The sequence below is a fragment of the Homo sapiens genome, chromosome 20 (assembly GCF_000001405.40).
Source record: "Homo sapiens chromosome 20, GRCh38.p14 Primary Assembly".
Classification (NCBI taxonomy): domain Eukaryota; kingdom Metazoa; phylum Chordata; class Mammalia; order Primates; family Hominidae; genus Homo; species Homo sapiens.
The window spans coordinates 47,830,792-47,849,125 of NC_000020.11; the positions used below are offsets into that span (position 1 = coordinate 47,830,792).

General features: G+C 51.5%; 1 long non-coding RNA gene across 2 annotated transcripts, besides 2 other annotated features; it reads right to left on the reverse strand.

Moving 5' to 3' along the window:
- Positions 7,298 to 7,799: an enhancer, noted in NCBI's record as "H3K4me1 hESC enhancer chr20:46466833-46467334 (GRCh37/hg19 assembly coordinates)". NCBI's record gives its function as "activates a minimal SCP1, AML or CMV promoter by ChIP-STARR-seq in primed H9 embryonic stem cells {active_cell/tissue: H9 hESC(primed)}" and the evidence as "EXISTENCE:reporter gene assay evidence [ECO:0000049][PMID:30033119]".
- On the reverse strand, positions 10,193 to 12,478 carry LOC105372636 (uncharacterized). Of its 2 annotated transcripts, none has more exons than XR_936785.3 (3): positions 12,388 to 12,478; positions 11,349 to 11,566; positions 10,193 to 10,544 (listed from the first exon to the last, which is right to left on the reverse strand). It is a non-coding gene; the product is annotated as an uncharacterized LOC105372636 (long non-coding RNA). The 2 variants fall into 2 exon arrangements; XR_936784.3 differs by lacking the exon at positions 12,388 to 12,478 and adding an exon at positions 12,126 to 12,314.
- Positions 11,221 to 11,421: a silencer, noted in NCBI's record as "peak4235 fragment used in MPRA reporter construct". NCBI's record gives its function as "represses an SCP1 promoter by STARR-seq MPRAs in K562 erythroleukemia cells {active_cell/tissue: K562}" and the evidence as "EXISTENCE:reporter gene assay evidence [ECO:0000049][PMID:32103011]".
- Positions 12,479 to 18,334: the final 5,856 nt, after the last annotated feature.

Genomic DNA, 18,334 nt, shown 5'->3' on the forward strand with positions numbered 1-18,334 from the left:
CAGACAGGGGTAACAGTAGATGCAAAGGCCCCATGGCAGGCACCAACTTGTCCAGGTTTGCCCAGAACTTTCTCAGTTTTAACACTAGAAATCCCATATCCCAGGAAAATTCTGAGTCTCAGCCAAGCTGGGATGATTTGCCTGAAACTGCCCTGTTATAAAACTGAGAGGTCTGTGCCCCATGACCCTCCTCAGTCCTGAGCAAGCTGAGGCAGTGGGTCGCCCTAGACTGGAACGACATGCATGATGGTGGGAAGAGCCAGTGACTCTCTTTCATGTCCTCTCTCCCCTCAACCTCAGGAGTCACCCAGGTGGGCACTGGCATCCAGGATGAAAACTTCCCAGCACCCCTAGCAGCAAGCAGAGGCCACGTGACCAGGCAGTGACCAATGCACATGAGGCCAGTGCACAGCAACTGCCATTAGAGGAAGGAAGATTTGTGTCCTCTTGTTCTCTTCTCCCCTCCCTGCTGGCTGGCAGTAGATAGGATGGACACTGTGGGGGAAGCTATACCCTAAGGAAGTCAGAGCAGCAAGATGGAAGTAGCCTAAGACCCTGAAAAATGCACAGAGAAGAATGACCCGACTGGCTTGGACTTTCATGTGAAAGGAATGAACCTCTGTCTTAGTAAAGCCACCGTCATTCAGGGTCCTTGTCACATTCACTGAGGCTGTAACATAATTGTTAGAAAGAACAGGAGCGGGAGGGGGGATGGAGTCGGAGAGGCAGGCAGAGGTCAGATCACATCGGGCCCGTAGGCCAAGGCGGAGGAAGAAACAGGCAACATAGGACTCAAGGACCACACCTGCTCCCAGGCAAAGGGAGTTTGCTGTGGGTGCCCCTCTCTGTCTGTGTGTCCAGTGTGTGGATATTCTTTATACCTTGCCCATATTGTACAAATACTTTTTTCTATTCAATATTTAGAAGACATTGCATTAAATAGCAAGATGGCAGATGAACATCAGGAAGGAACATTAGGGACATCCACAGTGTTCCATCCAGGAACCTTCACCGTGGAAACCCTTGTGCTCATGGGCGTGGTCTCAACACACAGTCAGCTGTTGGGGATCAGAGGCCGCACTCACCGGAGCAGTGAGGCAGAACTAACTGGGAGAGGGTCCTTCTGTGACACCTACTGCATCACCGGGCTGTGTGAAGTGACTCAGCTGCCAGAACTCACACAATATCATTCTACACCAAAACCTCATGGGAAAAATGGTAAGTTCTCAGTTTCTCCATTAATAGCAACTCTCAGATTAATCGCTGTCCTCCATCGCTTCTCCATGAAACAACTTTTTATAGCTTTGCTTGCGTCTATTTTTCCATTTTTTTTAATTTTGCTAACTGATTGAAAGATATATATTGTGTGTGTGTGATTTTGTCTCTGTCAGCCAGGATAATCATGGTTTAATTCTTATTATTTTTATTACCAACATCCTTTAGTTTTTTAAGCTTTTCAATTCCTAAGGGTATTAATCAAGATCTTTCTGTCTCATGAGACACAGAAAACAAATCCAAACTGTGTAAGAGGAAAAAGAATGCATTCATCACTAGCATTGAGGAGTTCCCAAGCTTAGCTTGCTTGGGGTACAGCTACGTCTACCATTTCCAGGGTCATCCTGTAACTCTCTCTCTCTGCTTCCCCAACTTTGGCTCCATGTTTAGCTCCACGACCCTCAGGCTTAAACAGCTGTACTGGCCGCTCCCCAGATCTCCAGCTCCCTGACCCTCAAACTCCAACTGCAGCACCAGCTCCGCCCCGGGTCTCCAGCTCCACAATCCTCAAACTACAACAGCAGCACCAGCTCCCCTGTGGATCTCCAGCTCAATGACTCTCAGACTTGGGAGGCAGCACCGGCTCCCCACCAAGCCTCCAGCTCCACAACCCTCAAACTAGAAAGCAGCACCGGCTACTCCCTGGGTCTCCAGTTCCCTCAAACTTCAGCTATAGCACTGGCTCTTCCCCGTGGCCACCAGCTCTGCAAACCTCAACTTACACAGTGGTAGCACCAGCTCCTCCCTAGGTCTCCAGCTACACGACCGTCAAAATTGAACTGCAACACCAGCTCCTCTTTGGCCTCCAGCTCCACAATCCTCCAACAACAACAGCAACACCGGCTCCTCCCTGAATCTCCAGCTCAACAACCCTCAGACTTGAGAGGCAGCACCGGCACCTCCCCAAGACTCCAGCTCCATGACCCTCAGATTTGAACAGCGGTAGCACCAGCTCCTGTCCAGGTCTCCAGCTTCACGATCCTTAAACTAGAACAGCAGTACCGCCGCCTCCGTAGGTTTCCAGTTCCATGATCCTAAGACATGAATGAAAGAACTGGGTCACCCCAGGGCTCCAACTCCAAGACCCACAGATTTGAACGGCAGCACCGGCTCTTCCTGGGATCTGCAGCTCCACAGCCTTCAAACTAGATCAGCAGCTCCGACTCCTCCCTGGGTCTCCAGCTACACAATCCTCAGACATGAACAATAGCACCGGCTCCTCCTTGGGTCTCCAGCTTCACTACTGTCAGGCTAGAACAGCAACACCGGTTCCTCCCTGGGTCTCCAGCTCAATGACTCTCAGATTTGAAAGGCAGCACCGGCTCCTCACAAAGTTTCTGGCTCCAAGGCCCTCAAACTAGAATAGCAGCAGCTGCTGCATCTTGGGTCTCCAGCTCCACAACCCTCAAAGTAGAAAAGCAGCCCTGGCTCCTCCCCGAGTCTCCAGCTCCTCAAGTCTGAGGGTTGTAGAGCTGGAGACCCGGGGAGGAGTCAGTGCTGCTGTTCTACTTTGAGGGTCGTGGATCTGGAGACCCAGGGTGGAGCCGGTGCTGCTGTTCTAGTGTGAGGGTCATGGAGCTGGAAGACCCCGGGAGGAGCTGCTGCTGCTGTTCTAGTGTGAGGGTCATGGAGCTGGAAGACCGCGGGAGGAGCTGCTGCTGCTCTCCTAGTTTGAAGGTCATGGAGCTGGAGACCCGGAAAGGAGCCATTTGAACAGCAGCACTGGCCCCTCCCCAGGTCTCAGGCTCCACGACCCTCAGACTTAAAAAGCTGTAGTACGGGCTTCTCCCTGGGTCTCCAGCTCTACAACCCTCAGACATGAACAGCACCACCGGCTCCTCCCCCTGTCTCCAGTTCCACGAACCTCAAACTACAACAGCAGTACCAGCCTCTCCCCAGGTCCCCAGATCCACGACCCTCAAAATAGAATGGCATCATCAGCTCCTCCCTGGGTCTCCAGCTCCCAAACCCTCAAACTTCAACGGACACAGCAGATCCTCCCCACAGTTAAACAGCAGCATGGGCTGTTCCCCAAAGCTCCAAATCCATGACCCTCTGACTTAAATGGTGGTAGCACCAGCTCCTCCCTAGGTCTCCAGTTCCATGACCCTCAAACTACACAGTAGCACCGGCCCCACCCCAGGTCCACAGCTCCACCAACCTCACATTAGACACTAAGACTACCTCCTCCCCACTCTCCAGCTACACAACCCTCAGCCTTAAACAACAGCAGCACCAGCTCTTACCTGGGTCTCCAGCACCACAACCCTCAGCCTTAAACAACAGCAGCACCAGCTCCTCCCTGTGTCTCAAGCTCCACAACCCTCAGACTAGAACCGCACCCCTCCTCCCTGAGTCTGCAGCTCCATGACCCTCAAACTAAAACAGCAACACAGGCTCCTCCCTGAATCTCCAGCTCAACAACTCTCAGACTTGAGAGGCAGAACCGGCAACTCCCCAGAACTCTAGATCTGTTCAGACTAGAACAGCAACACCGGTTCCTCTCTGGATCTCCAGCTAAGTGACTCTCAGACTTCAAAGGCAGCACCAGCTCCTCCGTGGATCTCCAGATCCACAACATTCAAACCAACATGGCTCCTCCCTGGGTCTTCTGTTTCACGATCCTTAAATTAGAACAGCAGCACCATCTTCTCCCTGGGTCTCCAGCTCCACGAAACTCAAGCTAGAATAGCAGCACCGGCTCCTCTGGGATCTTCAGCTCCACGACCCTAAGACATCAGTGGCAGCACCGGCTCCTCCCCTGGACTCCAGCTCCAGGACCCTCAAACTTGAACAGAAACACCAGCTCCTCCCCAGGCCTCCAGCTCCTTGACCCTCATAAACAATCCCTTCTCATGAAATGTAGCAGTCAGGAAAACTGTAGAGGAAGTAAATAAATAAATGTTTTCCTTTCAAATTGATGTTTCTTTTCTGTTCACGCAAGTCAGAAAACTTTTCTACTTTCCATCAACCTTGCAACCTGCTTGCATTCATTTGTAAGATGGAAATCCATCATTTGAAATAACCTTTAAAAACTTAGTAGTTCTTTTTTACTATGATCTTATCTCACAGCTCTAGAAACGATCTTTCACTTTGCCTGTGCAGAAGTCTTGTGAACATTCAAACTATGAATTTACTTGGTTGAGATTCCTAGAATACACATTATCCCCAGATGTTCCTGCCCTTCTTAAAATCTTCTAACACGTTCCCCTCACCCGAGCATACGTGCCAGGTCCTATCCACAGCCCACAGTGCCCAGCACGGCCCTGCCCTCTGCCCTGACCTTATGGTCTCCCCTCTGCTGTTACTTTCCTCCCAGACAGGCCTCTGTCACTTCCTCAAACCACACAGGTTCAGGCCTGACTCCGGGCCTTTGCCCCTGCTGTGCCCCCTGCGTGGAGCGCCTTTCCCCGGCTCCCCATCCTCCTCTCCACCGGCTCAGCTCCAGCCTGCTGGCTGCCCCTCAGTCCATGAACACACGAAGTCCTCCCCCCAGGCCTTTGCACATGCTGTTCTCTGTGCCTGAAACCCTTCCCCCCTCACCATCTGCGTTCACTTTTCTAATTTCCGTTCATCCTTGGAGTCTCCCCTGAAATATCGCCCCCCGCCTGCCCCCACCACTTGGACTTAACCTTGCTCAGGTTGAAAACCCCCATCTCCTGACTCCAGGAAGCTAGATGCTATCCTGGCACTTGGAACTTTCCCATCACAGCGTTTTGCGCACTCGTAATTTATTCTATTAGGTTGGTGCAAAAGTCATCACAGTTTTGTCATTGCTTTTAATGAATGGCAGCTCCGGCTCCTCCCGCTTTTGATTGCCATTACCTTTACTGGCAAAAGCCGGAATTACTGCTGCATCAACCTAATAGAATAATTTATATTTATTCACCTATCATCTGTCTTCCCCTCTAGAAAGTAAGCTCCATGAGAATAGGGACCAAATCTACTCCAATCACTCCACCTTCCTAGCACATTGTCAATAATTATTCACCGACTGACTGATGGAGAAATATCTTCATTGTTGCTGGGATGAGCCACATAACATGACATGCCCCTTTGAAAGTCAATGTCATGGACAGTTAGCATTTGCTTTTCACTCCTGCACCTGTGGCTTGGCTGGGCTTAGGCTGATCTAGTCTGGGCTTGACTCCAGGCTGAGGGTTGGAACCCTGCGTGCTCCACACGCCTCTCATCCTGCAGCTGGAGCCGAAGTTCCCTGGGGCACGCTCGTCTCGTGGGAAAAATCAAGAGCATTAGAGGGCAGGCCTGGCAGTGCCAACACATTCCAGGCTTCTGCCTGTGCCGTGTCTATGAAAAAATCTTGTTGGCATAAGCAAGTTACCCAGCCACGAGCAATACCTATGGGATGGATAAGTCTATCCACCCTCCCTCGGGCCCTGGTAAGGACGTGGATGTGTCATACTCTTACAGGGGTAGTGAAATAGTGAGGCCCAACATTAAATCACCTACAGCAAGATACATCAGCCTCTGTGTCCCCACGCTGGAATCATGTTTCACCAGCGGGTTTACCTGAGCTGACTCCCCTTTGCAATGGTGCCTGCAGGTTTAGGCCAATGCTGTTCCTTGTGGAAGACAGAGAAGCCTCAGTTGGCCTCTGACTGTTGGCAAGAACAACATATTAAGTTGGCACAAAACAACCAGAAGCCCCAGGTGGCCCGTGCCCAGTGAGATAGGAGAGGAGCAGGAAGAACTGTGGAAGCTCAGGGAGGCTCTCATCCCCAGCCCCCTCCCCACTAGTCCCCATCTCTGCTTTCTTTTTCCTGTTTTTTTTTTTTTTTTTTCTTTGAGACAGGGTCTGACTCTGTCACCCAGGCTGGAGTGCAATGTTGTGATCTTGGCTTACTCCAACCTCTGCATCCCAGGCTCAAGCAGTCCTCCCACTTCAGCCTCCTCAGTAGCTGGGATGACAGGCACATGCCACCACACCCAGCTAAATGTTTTGTTTTTGTTTTGTAGAGACGGGGTTTTGTTGTGTTGCCCAGGCTGGTCTCGAACTCCTGAGCTCAAGCAATCTGCCCACCTCTGCCTCCCAAAATGCTGGGATTGCAGACATGAGTCACTGAGTCCAGCCTGCTTTATTTTTTTTAACAGTACTTGGAACCTTCTAATGTACTAAGTACACATGTATTTTCTTTTTTTTCCTCTCTTCCCTAGAATAGGAGCTTAACGTGGGCGAGTATTTTTGTTTATCTCATTTATCACCCTATCCCCAGTGGCTGGAATAGCGTCTGGCACATGAATGGTGTGTTCTAAATAAATATTTTTAACAAATAAATGAAATATCCTACAAGAGAAAGCTAGTATTTGGAACTCACCCATCAACAGAACCAAAAAGCTGAAGACCTTCAGCCTGTCCCTACCTCTGAATGCACCCAGCCCCAGCAGATTAAAAACAGGAACAAAGTTGGGGAAGGGAGCAGGTGGTGCCACCCCGACCAAGGACCCCTGAGGCTTAGGCTGAATTTGAGCTGGAGAAGGGACTAACCTAGGAACTGGGCGTGAGATTAAAGTTGAGACTTGTCTGGCCTGGATTTTGTAACACCGAAACATGAGCTATTCCATTCATTTTTGTTTTTGTTTTTTTTGAGACAGAGTCTTGCTCTGTCTCCCAGGCTGGAGTGCAGTGGCATGATCTCAGCTCACTGCAGCCTCCGCCTCCCAGGTTCAAGTGATTCTCCTGCCTCAGCCTCCTGAGTAGCTGGGATTACGGGCACCCATCACTAGGCCCAGCTAATCTTTGTATTTTCAGTAGAGACAGGGTTTCACCATGTTGACCATGCTGGTCTCGAACTCCTGACCTCAAGTGATCTGCCCACCTTGGCCTCCCAAAGTGCTGGGATTACAGACATGAGCCGGCGCCTGGCCATATTCCACTCATTATTAGCAAGTCTGCTATTATAAATCAAGGTGACCAAAATCCTAGGAAAACTTCCCCAGATGTCATCAAGGAGCAGAGACCAGAGACCTATCAGCAGGATGGGGACTAGGGCGAGGCAGGGGAGGGAGGCGCTCATCTCTGGATTATCAGGATGCAGCAAATGAGGCATAAAATTTAAGGGGGCACCAAAAAATTCACGGATCAAAATAAATAATATTTTAGTGCAGAATTTTTTTCAAAAGTTAAATTCAATGCAAAAAAAAAAAAAAAAAACCCTAATGGGAAAGTTATCAACATTTCAACTAAGACACAATTTGACCCTGTATTTGCATGACTTGGCCTCACTCACTCACCCTAATCTGGCCCCTGCCTCACAGAAGCTGCTGGAATGCAGCGGCTAGAGAACAATGAAGCTGTTTTCTGCTCCTATCCAATTCAGACCTTCCATAAAGCAGCTACAGGTGAAATCGTGATGAGCCGCCTATGCCAACAGGACCACAATCTACCATTAGGACCACAGTGACCGGGTCCATGTTGCCTGTCCCCAGCTGTGCCCGGACGCTTTGGCTTAGAGGCTCAGGCCAGTGCTGCTTCTCCCGTTGACACCGGGCACTCATGAAGAGAAAACAGACAAGGCCGGGCACGGTGGCTCATGCCTGTAATCCCAGCAGTTTGGGAGGCTGAGGTGGGCAGATGACCTGAGGTCAGGAGTTCTAGACCAGCCTGGCCAACATGGTGAAACCCCCGTCTCTACTAAAAATACAAAAATGAGCAGGCATGGTGGTGCCCAGCTGAGGCACAAGAATCACTTGAACCCAGGAGGTAGAGGTCACAATATCGGGCAGCTGCACTCCAGCCTGGGTGAGAAAGTGAGACTCTGTCTCAAAAAAAAAAAAAAAAAAAAAAGAGAAAACAGCCTCGGTTATAGGAACTCAGGCCTCCACACAGACACAATCAAGGAGCTTAGTTATTTAAAACGCAGCTCCGTGTGGGGGTAGGTTGGGGAATGATTCTTATTTTCTACTTTATTCTCTTTCTCTGTTACTTGGCGTCTCTGGCCATGAGCCCGTCATTTCTGTAATTAGAGCACAGATTGTGGGGAGGGGAAGGACAGGCCGCCTGGCAATGTGGTCCTGTTTTTCCTGGACCAGCCTTTGTGTGAGGACCTGTGCCCAGCGGGCAGATTCGGGTCCCTGAGGAAAGAGGAGGAGCCAGGTAGTGGGACATTTGAGGTGACAGCCCTTCCCCAGCTGTCCAAGGCCCGCTTGGCACCGATGGTCATTCCCAGCATGTTGGGTTGGCCTTCGGGGGTCTGGTCAGGACTCTCAGGGCCATCAGGGTCTGGCAAACCCTGGTCTGGGTGTGAAGACACCTGGGGCATCTAGACCCCCTCTCTGGCCACTCACACACCCAGTACTGAGAGGCCACAGCACGTCTGCCCACGCCTCTGTCCTTGTTCACTTGGTGGCTGGCCAGTCATCGTGGACACTGACCGTAGCTCGAGTGTGGGGTCCTCAGGTTTCTGCTGGGCCAGCAATTGTGCCCCTTGTGCTGCTGTATCTTGGGGTGCCAGTACGGGGTCTCCATAGGGATAGAGACAGCATCTCTGCACCAACCAGTGGGCACACAGCTGTGTTTCAGTACAAACACCTGGGCCAGCTGGACAACGCAGCCTGGGCTGAGCAGCTCTGATTTGCCTGAATCCCAGAGTTGGCATGGTGGGGTCATTCTTTCCAGCCAAACCAGAGAGCACGTCCTTGGGCAGGATGAGGAGTGCTCAGAGCAGGTGAATGGAGCTCTGCAGGGAATGACATCTCCTCCAAGAAGTGAGGGCCCTGAAATCAATCCAGGGACACTCTCTGAGCATCCCCAGGGTACACACCAGGCCTCAGGGAGCAGGGAAATGTCAGCCAGCAAGGACAGGTCTGTGCTCTGTGGATGGGCCAGAAAGAGGGGGTGCAGCAAAGGAATCATAGTCGCAGAGGAGAAAACGGCCAGAGTCACAGCCTGATTTGTCCCTTTCTCACTGGGTGCTGCCAGGAGTCCAGTCCAAGCCAACAACCCCCGAGCACAGGTATCAAAATGGACTGAGACCCTCTAATCGCCTCCTGGTGTCTTGAGATAGCCTCCTACCCACTGGCCCCCAACGCGGAGCCCTGCACTGGCTTCTCCAAGAAGAAACTGGGGGGCTGAGGGGCTGACTTGCGGGGACACCTTTCATTCAGTGCCCGAGAACCTGTTGAATGTTTAACTTATCCTTAAAAAACATGCCTGCCTCTTTGCATGTCTAACTCTCTGTAAGGAGCATGTGTTACTTTGCTAAAGAAGGAAAACATCACTCCAGACCACCTGTGCATTTAGCAAACACCAATTCCTAGCCCAGAGCAGATTTGCTGCTTCAAAAAAGCAAAAGCTCAAAACCCATGTGGAGACTTCAGAGGCCGCCTGGCCCCCAGCTCACCCTTTGGAATTCACTGACAGGTGTGTTTGTGGCTCTTTCTTCTTGGCGTCTGGTGTCAGGAAAGAGAAGACACAGGGACACCAGTTGGGGGTTTAATCCCATCAGACCCAATCTTTGGTTCTCTGTGCCCCTTACCTTATCCCCATCGAGACGTCGCTGGAGCTGAATGAACCACGAGCTGCTGCCCTGAGCAGGGAGTTGAATCCACCCTTGATCAGATGGTTGAAGCTGCGCACACCCTCTAGGGCCCTGCATGGAGATGGGGAGTCACACCTCGGTTTTATCTCACAGCAAGGATGACCCCTCACTGGGCACCCCAGCTCAGACCTCAAGGGAAACAGGCCCGAGGAAAGATGGGTGGAAGGATGGGGCCCCTGGTGGGAGGACTCACAGGGTAAGAGACCCCACCCACTCAAGCGATTCACACTCAGGGTCTTTGGGGCTCTCAGAGGAAACATTGGTTCACAGTGAACACAGTTCCAGCTATTCAGGGTCACAATTATCTGCAGCAGGCACAACCACCCACTCTCAAAAGTTGAATTCAGTAAGGCAGAAACTTAAGCTCAAGATGGATTTTTATTGAAAATGATTTCTGTAATCATGTTTTATTTACCTGTATTTACAGATTAAAGTTTGAATATGGCACCTTAATTCCTTATCAAAGAGAAAGAATGCATATCTTGTGGTAATGGGGACCAGCAGCTCCATGAATCGAAGTTTTCTGTGGCTTGATCTAGTTCAGAGTCTGAGTGATACATGTGCCAGCAAAAGCCTCTGGTAAACAGGGAGCAGCGTTACAGCCAGCAGAGCCCAAGTGCTTGCGGAGCTGATGGAGATTTAAGGGAGCAGGTTCGAGCTCCTCCTGAGGCGGAGTGAGAGGAAGGCTCTCCCCATCTCCTGAGTGTCAGGCTGGACTCAAAGGGGAGAGAAAATATTTTAAATAAACAAAACACTGTCGTCGCAATAAAATGTGACAATTCTCTTCCCTTTCCTTTTTTTCTTTTCTTTTCTTTTTTTTTTTTTGACACAGGTTCTTGTTCTGTCACCCACCCAGGCTGGATTACAGGGGCATGATCTTGACTCACTGCAGCCTCAACCTTCCAGGCTCAGATGATCCTCCTGCCTCCTCAGTAGCTGGGACCTCAGGCATGTGCCACGTCTGTTTTTTTTTTTTTTTTTTTTTTTTTTTTTTTAGACATGAGGTCTGGCCACGTTGTCCAGGCTGATCTCAAACTCCTGGGCTCAAGCAACCTGCCCACCTCTGCCTCCCAAAGTGCTGGGATTATAGGTGTCAGCCACCACACCTGGCTCCCTTCTCTTTCTTTTTCACCTGACAGTGTCTCTGCATCCCCATCTCTTAGCACTCTCCTGACTTCTTAGATACCCTGGCCTCATCTCTGATCTGCCTGATCTCTGGCCTTAGCACTTGCTGTTCCTCCCACCTAGCACACTGTTCCCTCAAATCACCCATGGCAGCCCCTTCTTATCCTTCAGGACTCAGCCCACATGTCACCTCCTCAGAGAGGCCTTCCCAGACCACCCAAAATGAGACAGTAGCTCCACCCCCATGACTCTTTATCCCATCTCCCAATCTGTGTCCTTTGTTGTATTTTTCACAGTCTGAATGATGTTTATGTGTTGACCTGCATGCTGTCCATCCTCATAGACTGGAACTTCCTGAGAGTGTCATGAGATCAGATGGCTCTTACTCACCGCTGTGTCCCAGACACCAGCACAGCAGCCTGTGTTTAAAGGTGGTCCGTCAATGTTTGTTAAGTGACTGGACAGATACGGAAGTGGACGGTTACACTGACAGTTTTTACAGGGGGACGTGTTGCTTTGCCTTTGACTTGTTCCATTGTCCTCGTATGTAACGTGGGCCTGACCGGGAAGAGGTGGTGCCTGGACATGACGAAAAACTTTCACACGATCTGTCGGACAACAAACCACATAAGTATCCCTTCTCTATCCGTTATTCTATACCTTCATGGATAAATCACTAGACCTCACGTGGGCACAGGAATTTTGAAATATATTTTTAAACAAATTGCTAATGTAGACAGCGATCCTAAAATATAGAGAGACATATAGACATTCACCCGAGCCCTGCACACTCTACACATGACTTTGCAATCCATCCTTCGAGGAAGTCTGCAGTGAAGACGGCCCTTCAGAACTGCGAAGAATTGAGTCAAGGGGCTGGACCTTTAGACCCCTGTGTTTACTACTAGTCTTTGGAGATGGAGGGACCCCAGGAAGGGTGACTGGGCAAAGCAGCTCCTGTCAGCCAGGGGCATTTTCTGGGGAGGGTCTCAGCTGTGAGCTCTCAGCAGGCAACCCCCTGGGCAGTGGGGCATGCGTGCCTGCTCCTGAAAGGGGATGTGGGGGACACATCCCAGCATCTGCTCCAAGCCATGAGTCTTTCTCACCCGGGCCATTGTGCAAAAGCTTCCCGACAGGCCTCCCTTCTTCCACTCTTGCCCTATTTACCTATTTTCCACACAGCAGCCAGAGGAAGCCTGTGAAACCCAGGTCAGGTCCTGTGCTTCCTCTGCTCAGAACTCTCCATGGCTCCCGCGTACTCAGAGTAAAACCCGGAGCTTCATGATAACCATGAGGCCCGCAGCTTCTGCCTCCAAGGCTTCTCTGGCCTCACCTCCCGCTGCTCCTCTCCTCACTCGGCCGCAGCTGTGGCTCCCTCCCCGGTTTTCCGGGAACATGCCAGCACACCTGTTGCTGGCTTTGTACTCACTGTTTTTTTGCCTGGAAGGCTCCACCCTCGATGTCATCCTGGCCCGCAGCCTCAGCTCCTCCAGTCTTGGCTCAAATGGTGGCTTCTCAGCAGGGTCTTCCCTGACCATCCTACTGAAAATCAACAACCACCTTCCATAGGGGGCTGAACAAGGGCCCCCCATATGTGTCCACATTAAAACCCCTGGGCCCTGTGTGTATGTCCATTGCAAAGGCGCTTTGCTGGTGTAAAGTGAAGGATCTTGAGATGGAAAGATGACTCTGGATGACCTGGGTGGGCCCAGTGTAATCACAGGGTCTTTATAAGAGGAGGGCAGGAGGGTCTGAGTCAGAGGAGCTGTAGTGACAGGGCAGAGACTGGAATCATGTGCTTGAGGATGGAGGAAGGAGCCACGCTCCCAGGAGTATGAGGGGCTCAAAAGAAAATACAGGCCAGACCAGCACTTTGGGAGGCCGAGGCGGGTAGATCACTTGAGGTCAGGATTTCAAGACCAGCCTGGCCAACATGGTGAAACCCTGTGTCTACTAATAATACAAAAAACATTAGCTGGACCTGGTGGTGCGCATCTGTAGTCTCAGCTACTTGGGAAGCCGAGGCAGGAGAATCACTTGAACCCAGGAGGCAGAGGCTGCAGTGAGCCAAGATTGCACCACTGCACTCTAGCCTGGGTGACAGAGCGAGACTCTGTCTCTAAAAAAAAGAAAGAGACAAAGACAGAGAGGAAAAAAAAGGAAGGAAGGAAGGAAGGGGAAGGGAAGGGAAGGGAAGGGGGAAGTGGAAGGGGAAGGGGAAGGAAGGGAAGGGAAGGAGGGAGGGAGGGAGGGAGGGAAGGAGAGGGAAGGGGAGGGAGAAAGAGAAAGAGAGGGAGAGAAGAAAGAAGGAAAGAAAGAGAAAGAAAGAAAGAGGAGGGGAGGGGAGGAGAAGGAAGGGAAGGGAAGGAGGGAAGGGGAATGAAAGGGAGGAGAAAGAGAAGGGAGAAAGGAAGGGAGGAAGGAAAGAAAGGAAAGGAAGAGAAGGGAAGGGAGAAAGAAAGAAAAAGAAAGAAAGAAAGGAAGAAAGGAAGAAACAAAGAAAGGAAGGAAAGAAGGAAGGAAATACAGACACTGAAAATGCAAAGAGTCCTGCCCTCAGGGCATCCAGCAGGAGCCAGCCCTGTTGACACCTTGACTTAGCCCAGTGAAACTGACGGCAGACTCCTGACCTCCAGAGCTAGGAGAGAGTCCATATGTGTTGTGTGAAGCTATCAGGTTGGTGGTGATTCGTCATAGCAACCACAGGAAGCTAACACACCCTCCCACATACCTGGAGCTTCCTATCCCCAAGCCTGCTGAATGTCTCCCTGTAGCATGGATTAGCAGCTGACATGCATACCTTTCACTGATTTGTTTATCCCTCTCCACTTACTGAATGTGTGCTCCATAAAAGCAGGAATTTTGTTTGTTGCAAGATCCCCTGCACCTAGCACAGTGCCTGGCAGATAGCAGGTGCTCAGCAAACATCCTCTGCAATGCTGCACTTGAGTCCTGAGGAGGGAGACGGAGCAGATCCTGGGATGAGCCAGGGGACAGAGCTCCAGGCAGAGGCAGCACCAAGGGTAGAGTCTGAGTCACAGCCAATCCCATCCTTCTAGATGGCTGCTGTAGGACCCATGGATAAAATTCCTCCTAGCCCTGCCTCCACAGAGAAGTCCCTTCAACTGAAGCCATGGAAGCTGGAAACTCACTTAAGAGCCCCTACAGTGAGAGATTAAGAGCATAGACCCTGAAGCCAGGCTGCCTAGGTTCAAATCTCAGCTCTGCCACTCACTAGCTGAGTGACTCTGGGCTAATTAATTAACCTCTCTGTGCGAATTTCCTCGTCTACAGAATAAGGATAATGATAGTGCCCATCTCATAGGGCTATTGTGAGGATTGAAATAGCTAATGCATTTAGCACAGTGCCTGGCACACAGTACACATGATCTACTGTTCCTATTTGGGTGGAAAAGTCCAGCAAGTTGCAAAGATTGCTAAAAAGCAATGAGAATATACCAGGGTGTCTAAACTGACAAGCAAAGGGTATGATTAAAAGACAAGCCAGGTTGGCAGCAGAACATTTGCTTTCCTTGGCCTGGGCCACAGACAAGGAATTGAAAGGTAGCCTGGCAACGCTTTGAGAAAAATTAATCACCCCTGTTGCCTGCCTGCCCCTGCCCATCCCATTTAACCTGCATTCCCCCGCCCCCTACCCTACCCCTAAAGGGATCCTGGAGCCTCCTGTTGCACAGGCCGGGCTGTGACATCCACAACACACCCCAGCTGGGCCCAGCAAGTTGTTTTCCAGCCCCATCTGCCCAGACACAGCCCTGTGAAGAGAGGGCCGAATGCAGAGCCAGGGCTGTGTTGACTGCAGAAGGGACGGAAGAAAATAGATGGGGTGCGGTCTGCACAGTGGGAGGTTGGTGTGTCATGTGGGTCTCACATGTGGCTTCCCTCCAACAAGCCCCCTGCAATCCCCGCCAGACGTAAGGAGGGAGGGGTGAAAGTGGGGTTTCCGCCAGAGGCAGCAGAGCTGAGGAGGGGCCCAGGCTGCAGGGACCTGTGTACAGGGCATGAGATGTCACCGGGGGCTTCCTACATGAGATGCAGTGAGTCATCAGGGTGCAGGGTGGAGGCTCTGAAGGAAGAGCCCAGGGGAATACAGGAAAAAGGTGACCTGAGAATCCATCAGCCACCACCCCAGTCCTTCCCTCCTCTGTCCAGGAGCAGGGCCAGGGCCCAGGAGACAGGGTGAGCTTTCTGCAGGAGGGACACCCGCCCTGAGAGGAACCTGGGCTGTCATAGCCGCACAGACACTGCAAGCCAGGAGCAGTGGCCACACCCGTAGAGCAGGGGTATCAGAAGGGGGCAGAAACACAAGCTTGTCACCTGAGGGCTGGGAGCATCTGTCTTTGTGGTGACCAAGGGGAGACAAAGCAAGTGACGGAGACGCCTTCTCTTCAGCAGTGGTTCCCTCTGCAGGTCTCCAGGGACAGTGGGTCTGAGGGGCAGGAATGGTGGGGGGCTGTCATGGGTGCCGCATTAGGATGTCCCCTTCTACCCTGAGCAGCAGGCAGTCCCCTCGAGGATTCCACGTCATCAGCCTCTGGCCCGAGGGCTTCCCAGCGCCTCCCTTTCTCCGTTTTGGGTGACTTGGGCAGGCACTGGCGTCTACATCTGTGCACTCTTGGCACCTGGTGGGTGCGACCTGGGCCCTCCCATCAGACACACTTCAATCTCATCCCACACAGCCCAGGGCCAGACCTTGGCACCTCATGCAGACTCAGACTACGCACCTGGGATCCGGGCACTGAGACTGCACGTGGCCTCTTCCCAGTGTCTCAGAGGGAAATGAGGCTGGAATTTCTCCTGGGACACTGGACACCCCGCATCTCATGGTGCTGCATAAGAGGATGCTTGGCCCTGCATCCTCCCTGCAATAACCATCATTTAATCAGGCCAGAAGAAGTGGAGAAGGCGCGGCCCATGGGACAGCCATGTGTTCAAAAGCAGCCCCCACCCATGCACAAGCAGCCCTCAGAGGTGTCCAGGCAGCTCCAACCAGCAGATAACGGGCACCCAGAATGTGCAGAGCCAGCCCAGATTGCAGCCTGGATCTCAATTTGCAAGAAAGAACTTGCCAGCTTGAGCAGCTGCCACGAGTCCCAGCGGCTTGGCAGTTTCTCCTGGAGGCTGTTCGCAGAGCCAGACCAGGGACGGGGTCTTGGCCACTATGGGTCCCCGCAGTCTGCACCGAGCTTGGAGTCACCAGGCTGATTTCACGGATGTTTATGGAGCCTGCAGGAGACCATAGCTTAGTGTGTCCCCTGCTAATTAAAGGACAACAGCCAGTTGTTCCCCGTCAGAGATTACAAAGGATGAATGCTTTGGACCCAGGGAGCGGATGGGAGCATATCAGATGCCAAAACCTGGTGCCTGCCACCTGGCATTCTTTGGAAGTGACCCTTTGTGGAGCATTGGCCATTATCGGGGAGATGGGTATTGGGGAGCCTCCCTCTCAGCTCTGGGGTCTCAACTCTGCCCACATAGGGCAGGAGGACGATGTCCTGAAGCTGTGCCTGTCCTTGCCCAAGGAGGGTTGGGGGCTTTGCAGGGGGGTATGTGAATGCCTGCAGGCCTAGGGGTCAGGGGACCCGTGCAGGGCTGGAAGAGGGGTTCTCGGCCACAGGACAGCCCTGCTTCTGCCAGTGAAGCCATGTGTGGAAATACGGCTCAGCATTGCTCAACCTTCCAGCAGCCAGGACACCCTGGGTTTGAGTCCCTGCTACAGATAAAAGAACCGAATCTGACCATTTGTCTCCAGCCATTCTCAGCCTCTGCCTCTCTCCCCAGCCCCTCTACCAGGTGTTCAAGGAAAGCAGAGCCCAGAACCTGTCGTGTAGGGCCTTGGGCTTTCCACGGCCTGATCAGTGCTAGTCTCTGGGGAGCACTTTGGGGGACACATTCAGATTCTCTCGAATGCCTCATACCCGGACTGCAATCCCCCATTCCACCAGCGATTTCAGGACCATGTGGGAAATTTCATCAAATTTGCAAGTGTGTTGTTTCTTCTTTTACCCCCATTCTATCTGTGAGATGCTCTAGAATTCACCAGATGTAATATATCTTTGGGATGAATATTCTATGTTAAGTCCTTTGAAAGCAATCAACAACTGTAATCCAATTACTATTGGCTGTATCTTTCTCTTTTGCCCCAAACCTCATCCTGTGTGCCAAGCTCACCACACACACACACACACATACACCTCTCACAACAGATGCTAATTTTGTGCCTCGCTGCCTCACATAACGTGAGAGCGTTGAGTAGTGAACAGCTGATCTGCATGAATTAACGTGGGAGGTCATGTGGGCCCTGAAGCTTTCACACTCACAAACCAGTAGCAGGATGGGTTGTCATGGAGATCACATGGAGGGACACCAGAGTTCCCCCAGGACTCTGGGCCTCCTCTGATGAGCAGGTCACATGGGGATCTGGGGGGAGGCACAGGCACGAACTGCATATTAAATACACCTGACTCACTGTGTCTGTGAGTGCGTGGGCGTGTGTGGGTGTGGGAGAGTGCATATAGGAGTGAGCATGTGTGTGAGTGTACATATAAGTGTGTCTATGTGTGTTAGTGTGTGCATATGAGTGTGTCTGTGTGAGTGTGTATGTATCAGTGTGCATATATGCGTGGGCATTGTAGGCACACATGTGCATATATGTATATGTATGAGGGTATCTGTGTGTGAGCAAATGGATGCATGAGTGTGTGTGGGCATGTGTATCTGTGTGTGCATATGTGTAAGCGTGTTAGTTTGCACGCATACGTGTCCAGAGCCCACATGGGATGAAAACTGAATGGCTCTAAAGATCTACTGGACACATTTCAGATCCTAACAGAGCTCTTAAAGCTCCAAGGGGTCACTGAATGGACAATGAGTGTTTCTGAGTCCAGGTGGCACTGACTCAGCAATGCAGGAAGGCAGCTCCTTGAGTTCCAGGAATGACCTGCACCCCTTTTCTCTCCCTCCCGGTCACCCACCCCTCCCCACGTCCCTTCCTCTTCCTCTGTTTGCCTTCCGTGCCTCTCCCTTTCCCAGTCTCATTTCTTGCATGTTCATCACTTCTACTTCCTGCAGTTCAATTCCCCTCCACCCCTCAGCATGGACTGTGGGATGAGAGAGCCACAGCCTTATCCCTGACGTAACCAAAACTCTTGGCACCAGCTTAGACCTGTTTTTCAGTCTTATAAACAGGTCTCAAATCAGGGAAATGTAAGGTTCTGAGGAAAATGATCACCACCAGGTGATTCCCCTCTGTGTTACCGTAAGGCGGTGAGACAGAGATTCTCTAACGTTTTTAGTGCAACCCACCGTAAGAAACCCACTGCAAACTGCCACCCAGCACACACACAAGCACATCCATT